The 8,296-nt window shown below is 42.7% G+C and overlaps 1 pseudogene, besides 1 other annotated feature; it reads left to right on the forward strand.

The window, feature by feature from the left end:
- Positions 1,405–1,524: an enhancer, noted in NCBI's record as "active region_6038". NCBI's record gives its function as "activates an Ori minimal core promoter by ATAC-STARR-seq in GM12878 lymphoblastoid cells {active_cell/tissue: GM12878}" and the evidence as "EXISTENCE:reporter gene assay evidence [ECO:0000049][PMID:35858748]".
- On the forward strand, positions 7,493–7,766 carry HMGN1P23 (high mobility group nucleosome binding domain 1 pseudogene 23; annotated as a pseudogene).

Raw genomic sequence — 8,296 nt, forward strand, 5'->3', positions numbered from 1 at the left:
CACGCTTATTTAACACCACTGGAGATTCTAGCTGGGGCAATAAGGCAAGAAAAAGAAGTACATGGCCGGGCATGGTGGCTCACACCTATAATCCCAGCACTTTGGGAGGCCTAGGCGGATCACTTGAGGTCAGGAGTTCAAGACCAACCTGGCCAACATAGTGAAACCCCGTCTCTACTAAAAACACAAAAGTTAGCCGGGTGTGCATGCCTGTGGTCCCAGCTTCTCAGGAGACTGAGACAGGAGAATTGCTTGAACCCAGGAGGCAGAGGTTGCCATGAGCTGAGATTGTGCCACTGCACTCCAGCCTGGGCGAAAGAGTGAGACTCTCTCAAAAAAAAGATAAAAAGAAAAAGAAGTACATGCAGACACTTTGGAAAGAAAGAAGTAAACCTGTCTTCATTTGCAGACAACATGAGTATCTCTATGGAAATTACTATGGAATCTTTTAAAGCTAATAGAAATAAAAGTGAGCTTTACAGGCTCTCAGAATAGTAGGCCAGTATACATAAATTAATCGTGTGCTGGACAAAATGAAACTATGGTGCAAAAGCACTATTTTTAAAAAAAGAAAAAAAAAAGCATTATAAGTTCTAGAAACTGGAAAAATAGGGGAAAATCTTAAGAATTGAGAGGAGGGAAGAAAATATAAGTAATAAGATAAGGCTTAAGGAAGGAGAAAGACGGAGATCTTTGATCAATGAAACAACAGAGGATCTGTTAATTTAATCTGGAGACGGACCTGATTGAGATCATACTAAAAAGTAAAATAGAAGCCATCAAGTCTGATTTGGAATAAACTCTCAGGAGATTCTTGCAATCAATTAGGCAAAAAAGATGCCAGCTTGGTCTCCAGCAAAGGAGAAGGAGAAAAGCAAACCATAATCAAGAGAGAGTTGGAAGATTAAATCAATTGGCTATTGACAAATGTGGAAGGGAAGAGAGAAGGGGGAGACCAGGGCTGCTCCCAGATATGGGGCTGCAGCAGGGAATGACAATGCCCTGCAGAGGAGCAGCTGTGCTGGCTTCAGTCTCTGACTCACAAAATACCCCAGGGAAAGAGCAGGTGTCATCTTTAGCTTCAACCATAAAGTGGCATGCGGTGCAGAGAGTGGCAGCCTGCCTGGGCCACTTTACCCTAAAATGTGGCACCCACTGGGTCCTCCACTTCAGCCACTGCCCCGGGCACTGGCATAATGGTCATTTACAACAATCATTTCCCTTGCTCGCTTGCCTGGACACCTCCTGGGCCACAAAAGTGTGCCTCAAATTAGGCAACTGACATAATAGAGACAGTAGGACCTCTGTCTGAGTCGTGACCATTTTCTCTTCCCCTATCTTCTCTCAGGTTCGCTCTCTGAATTCTCCTGGGGGAGCTCCATCACCTATCATCTTTTCTTTTTATGAAACTTGAACATCTTAAGCTGAAATTAGCGACCCTTCCTGAATAGCAAAATGCAATCACCTTTACAGGACTCCAGATGTTTCAAATACAAAAAGCCATGGGCAGGAGTAACGTTGCAATTCCATGCATGCCTCAAAAGGGATTCGCAGCCTAAGCATCCACAAGAGGGAGCTCTCTAGTACCTTTTCACTTTCTCAATAAAGATTTACAATCACCTGCTGTGCACCAGGCTCTATGCTAGGAATTGGAGATACAATAATAAATAAAAATAAAAGGGCCAGCTGCAGTGGCTCATGCCTGTAATCCCAGTACTTTGGGATGCTGAGGCGGGAAGATCACTTGAGCCCAGGAGTTCAAGGCTGTAGCAAGCTATGATTGTGCCACTGCACTCCAGCCTGGGTGACAGAGCATAACTCTGTCTCTAAAAAAAAATATGTATTTATTTAGAGACGGGGTCTTACTCTGTCACCCAGGCTGGAATGCAGTGGCACAATCACAGCTCTTGGCAGCCTCAACTTCCCAGGCTCAGGTGTTCCTTCCACCTCCACCTCAGCCTCCCAAGCAGATGGTGCTACAGGTGCCCACCACCACACCCAGCTAATGTGTGTATTTTTTGTAAAGACAGGGTTTCACCATGTTGCCCAGGCTGGTCTCAAACCCCTGGGCTCAAGTGATCCACCTGCCTTGGCCTCCCAACAAATTAAAATTAAAACTGAAAACATAAACACGGGAGCAGTGGTTCACGCTTGTAATCCCATTTTGGGAAGCCAAGGCAGGAGGAATGATTGAGTCCAGGAATTCGAGACCAGCCTGGGCAACATAGCGAGACCTCATCTCTACAAAAAAATTAAAAATAAATAAATTAGCCAGGTGTCATGGCATGTACCTGTCTTCGTTCTAGCTACTCAGGAGGCTGAGGTAGGAGGCTTGCTTGAGCACAGGTCAAGGCTGCAGTAAGCCATGTTCACACCACTGCACTCCAGCCTGGGCAACACAGTGAGACACTGTCTCAAAAAATATATAAAAAATAAATAAAAGATCCTGGCCTCATGGATCTTACATTTCTATGGGAGACACAATTAGTAAGTAAACAAGCGGCATAAAACATTGTGATAAAGTTATTTAAAAAAAAACCAGAATGATGAGATAGAAACTAACTAGAAGAGGACACTCATCAAGAAGGGCATCTCTGGGGAGGCAGCATTTAGGCTGAGACTTGAAGGGTGAGAATGAGCCTGCCTTGTGCTCAGTACAAGTGATGCAACAGAAATGATTATGCCATATATTTACAGCTCTACACGTTATTAGGGTGTGGTGTGGGATCCGTGGCAGAAGTGGTGCTGTTAGCATAACTCAATACACGAGGCTGTGCAAGGGAAGATAGTATTTTGAAAAACTACATTATGCGACCTTCTCCCTAATTAACTGTTAAGGAAAACTTATTCAGTGATACTAGTTAAAGCATGGCAAGGAAAACGTCATTCAGAACCATCACGATAGCTACAGGGACCAGGGCAATGGGGTCTTGCAGTCAGGGAGAGACTGGGGCAACTCTGAATACAGCACAAGCAGGTGGAAATCATAATTGATGCCAACGAGCAGGGTGGAGGTCAGTGGATGGAAAATTACTAAGAGGAAACATCAGGGGTGAGGGGGATTCTGGCTAAACCAACACAACAGGATTCTTGCTGAAGACAGGCCAGGGTGAACAGGCATCGCGTTGGGGACGTGGGAGAGGAAAATTCTGATCAGATATCCAGGATGATCAGATACTGAGGATGAGGGGTTCTGGCTAAACTGACTTAGTAGTGTTCTTTGCTAAAACTGGATGTTGCAAGAAAGTGCATAGATGGGCTGAGCAGAAGATTTGGAAGCCTGACTAAACTTTGGCCAAGCAAAGAATCTTTGTCAAAACCTAAAGTATCGTGGGAGAGAAGGAGGTGCAGATTGGATTGAGACTGTGAAAGAAGGAATGAGAAGAGCAGGAGTTATTATTCAACTTATAACATTCAAGAGATGGCGTAGCATAACAATAAACTAGATAACAGACACAATTGAGAGAGAAAGGATTCTCTACATTTTTAACTCACATTAAGTGTATCAAGAGCTAGTCCCGATGGACTATAGTAGATAGATTGGAAGTTAAAGAAACATCCGCCCTCTCCTGATGAAGGGGATTGTAGGACAGGAAGAAAGAGGAAGACAGGAGGTGGTCCCACAACGGGTTCCCAGTTTCCCGGAAGTAAGGCGGACAGGCTGAGGGGGAACACCGGGGACTGCAGGGAAATTGCTCCATTCCTTTTTTGGGACTCTGGGAGGAGACATCTGCAGAGGGTATCCCTGCGCCAATATGGGTAAGAGAAGTTGGGCACCAGCATGACTTAGGGGCTCTGCTTCTCAAAACGCCCGTGGAACAGATTTTTTTGTTGTTCTTTTCCAATTACCCCTGATTCCCTAATAAAATACACTAAAAATGAGTCAATAGAAGAAGAAAATGAGGGAAAAAAAGGAATACAAGCTCAAGTTTTTTTATTAGATTCAATAGACATAAAATTCCTATCAACTTATTTTGAAAGTTTCAAACGATTCCACCAGACACTGTTGGAAGATAGAACAGAGATTGAACTCAGCTTTTAAAAAGCAGGGGAGTCCCACAGAATGCCTGCCCCTTCCATGGTGGCTTTCTGGCACCCAGATATGTTAACTGGCCAAGCAGGTAATTTCTGTGTGTTATTATCTAAAAGTGTTTCTTTATGAAAACACTGGGTGGGACCACAGGGCAGTCTCGGGTGAGAGGAAAAAGGGACAAGGTCAGACAGCCCCCAAGGAGAGTGGAATTGCTTTTCACACCAGAAAGAGCCTTGTATTCCTGCAGCCTCCCTAAATCATCCCGTGAGAATATGTTATTAGCAGACACCTTCAGAATCCCCTGCTAGCATCCTAACAGTGCTCTTGCCAATAATCATTTGGCCACATGCATAGAGCCAGCAGCAAAGACTGGCTTTCATTGTTTTATTCCTGGCAGTATATAGGCTTTCTGGCCTGAAGTAAGAGGAAGTAAGAAAGAAAAACATACATAATAAAATGGAGGAAGGTTCCAGCTCTCCCGGGCTTAGAAGGAGACCTGGTTCAATGCAACAGTATTTTACATTTAGCACTGTTACTTTGGGGGAAAGAAGAAATGAGACAAAAAAATGAAGAAGGTAGAGTGACATCAGGAAACCCTGGATAAAGCTAACCATTGCTACCTCCTTTCAGGGTGGCTGGTTCTCCTTGCTTCCTTTCTTTCTTTGCCACAAACACCAGGGTTCCAGAATTGTCCGCTTCTTCACAGGTACCACCACTTGGAATTTCCATATGTATCACGCTTGTCCGTAGAGGAAGACATAGCTGCCCCAAGAGATCCCCTTTCTATCTACACACAAACACAAGCAGCAGGGTCTTCGTGAATGTGAGAAACAAAGGGAAGGCAGCCGCAAAGATAATAGGTTCAAGGGATGCTGGTCTTGCTCAGCTGTTGCTGATTAATGGAGCTAGTGCACTCAATTAGAATAGGGTTCACCTGAGATTTGTCCCATCTCCAACTTTCCTCTGATAGAGCCTCCCTTCTATGTAAAAGGTAACCGTGTCTAGAGAGCCAATCAAGATAAAGTAATAGTGTCCTTTTTGTCCTACCTGGACCTGAGGACTTGTAGACTAGATAATTACCAATCAAATAGGCCACTAAGAAGTCCAGAACTTAGTATCTCTGGCTTTATCATAATTGCCTGAACCTGCAGCTGTTTCCTATGCATCCTAGGCAGGGATAACCTATAGTCTGAAGGAACTTGCCCTACTTTAAACTGCCCGCCAGTGCTCTTTGCAGAAAAAAAAAAAAAAAAAAAATGGAGTTCAGGAAGTTGGGATACAAATAAGAGTTTTGGAAAGGAAAAGACCAGTCCAGACAGAAAGGGCTGGACTGTTAATTGGCTGGCTAAATCAAAAGTCATCAGTATTTAGCCTACAGTAACCAAAACAGCATGGTACTGGTACAAAAACAGACACATAGACCAATGGAACAGAATAAAGAGCCCAGAAATAAAGCTGCACACCTACAATCATCTGATCTTAGACAAAGTTGACAAAAACAAGCAATGGGGAAAGGACTTCCTATTCAATAAATGGTGCTGGGATAACCAGCTAGCCATATGCAGAAGAGTGAAACTGGACCCCTTCTTTTAACCATATACAAAAATCAGTTCAAGATGGTTTAAAGACTTAGATGTAAAATCTGAAACTATAAAAACCCTGGAAGAGAACCTAGGAAGTACCATTCTGAACATAGGACTTAGCAAAGATTTCATCATTAAGACACTAAAAGCAATTGCAACAGAAATAAAAATGGACAAATGGGACCTAATTAAACTAAAAAGCTTCTGCACAGCAAAAGAAACTATTAGCAGAGTAAACAACCTACAGAATGGGAGAAAATATTGCAAACTGTGTATCCAACAAAGGAGTAATATCCAGAATCTATAAGTAATTTAAACAAATTAACAACCATTTGTCCATTAAAAAGTTGGCAAAGGACATGAACAAACACTTTTCAAAAGAAGACATACAGCCGGGCACAGTGGCTCACATCTGTAATCCCAGCACTTTGGGAGACCAAAAGGTGGGAGGATCACTTGAGCCCAGGACTTTGAGACCAGCCTGTGCAACATCGTGACTTCGTCTCTCCTAAAAATAAAAAATTAGCCAGGTGTAGCGATGCATACCTGTGGTCCCAGCTACTCTGGAGGCAGGAGGATAGCTTGAGCCCAGGAGGTAGAAACTGCAGGGAGCTGTGATCACATCACTGCATTCCACCCCGGGAACAGAGCAAGACTCTTGTCTCCAAAAAAAAAAAAAAAAAAAAAAGGAAGACATATACATGGCCAAAGAGCATATGAAAAAATGCTCAGTATCACTAGTCAAAAGAGAAATGCAAATCAAAACCACAATAAGATACCATCTCATACCAGTCAGATGGCTATTATTAAAAAGTCAAAAAAATAACAGATGTTGGCAAGGTTGTGAAAAAAAGGGAATGCTTATACACTGCTAGTAGGAATGTAAATTAGTTCAGCCATTATGGAAAGCAGTTTTGAGATTTCTCAAAGAACTCAAAGCAGAATTACTATTTGACCCAGCAATCCCATTATGGGGTATATGCCCAAAGGAATATAAATTGTTCTGCCATAAAGGCACATGCACGTGTATGTTCATCATAGCACTATTCACAATAACAAACGCATGGAATCAACTTAAATGCCCATCAGTGGAAGACTGGATAAAGAAAATGTGGTATGTATATACCATAGAATACTACACAGCCATAAAAAGGAACAAGATCATGTCCTTTGCAGCAACATGGATGAAGCTGGAGACCATTATCCTAAGCAAACTAACACAGGAACAGAAAACCAAATACTGTATGTTCTCACATTGAGTGGACTTCATGTCAACAGACATAGACATAATAATATAGGAACAATAGACACTGGGGCCTGCTTGAGTTTGGAGGGAGGGAGGAGGGTGAGGATCAAAAAACTACCAATCGGGGACTATGCTTACTACCTGGGTGATGAAATAATCTGTACACTAAACTCCCATGACACACAATTTACCTATATAACAAACCTGCACGTGTATCTCTGAACTTTATAAAATAAAAGTTAAAAACAAAAAATGTCATTAGTGTTTGAGGAAGGAGAGAAAAAAATAGAAACTTCAGACATACATTTGTTCAGTGCAAAACATTGTAAAATATATAGGGAAAAGTACTTTGAAATACATTCTAACTCAATCATAATGGTTGTGTGACTTTGGACAAGTTAATTTGTTTCTCTAGTTTCAGTTCCCTCATCAGCAATATGAGGAAAACTGGGTTTTTCTAACATCATTGATGAATTTGACCGTGTATGTGCTGTATCGTATTGGCTTGACCCAGGTCCCATCAGGTTCTCCCACTGCCCTGGCTGCAGGTCTCAGCAGTTCGAGCTGTAAGAGGAGTAGCAGTGGCCTCCTCACCATCAAGATACCCGAGAGGAGGGCAACTCAGCCCAAGACACAGTGAAGGAAGATCCCAAGAGGAGATGGGTGAGGTTGTCAGATAAACCTGCTCCTGCAACAGTAAAAACGAAAACAAAAAAGGCAGTGGGAAAGGATAAACCTTCAGACCAAAAAAGGCAAACAAAGGGGAAAAAGAAGAGGAAAGGGAAAACAGGCCAAAATGGCTAACCAGGAAACTCAAGAAGATTTACCTACAGAAAATGGAGAAACTGAAAATGGGGACAGTCCAGCCTCTGATGAACCTGGAGACAAAGAAGCCAAGTCTGATTAGTATCATATGCCCTGTCTTAGCCACAGTCCCTGTCTCCCTTCCTATACAATCCAGACGAATATTTTTTATCAACTATTTTGTAAATGCCAAGTGTTTTAGTAGCTCTAGAAACTTCTTTTTTTCTTTTTTTTATATTCTTTTTTTAAGACAGAGTCTCATTCTATTACCCAGGCTGGAGTGCATTGGCACATTCTGGGCTCACTGCAACCTGGGCCTCCCAGGTTCAAGCAATTCTCCTACTTCAGCCTCACGAGTAGCTGGGATCACAGGTGCCCGCCACCACGCCTGGCTAATTTTTTTTGTATTTTTAGTAGAGATGGGGTTTCACCATGTTGGCCTAGCTAGTCTGGAACCCCTGACCTCAGGTTATCCACCCACCTCAGCCTCCCAACGTGCTGGGATTACAGATGCGAGCCACCGTGCCCAGCCTCTAGAAACATTTTTAAGAAGGAGGGAATCCCTCTTCATCTCATTTTTTTTAAGTGTGAATGCTTTTATTTCAGAGATGAAATTATTTGCTAGTTATT

This window comes from Homo sapiens, chromosome 12 (assembly GCF_000001405.40).
Source record: "Homo sapiens chromosome 12, GRCh38.p14 Primary Assembly".
NCBI lineage: Eukaryota > Metazoa > Chordata > Mammalia > Primates > Hominidae > Homo > Homo sapiens.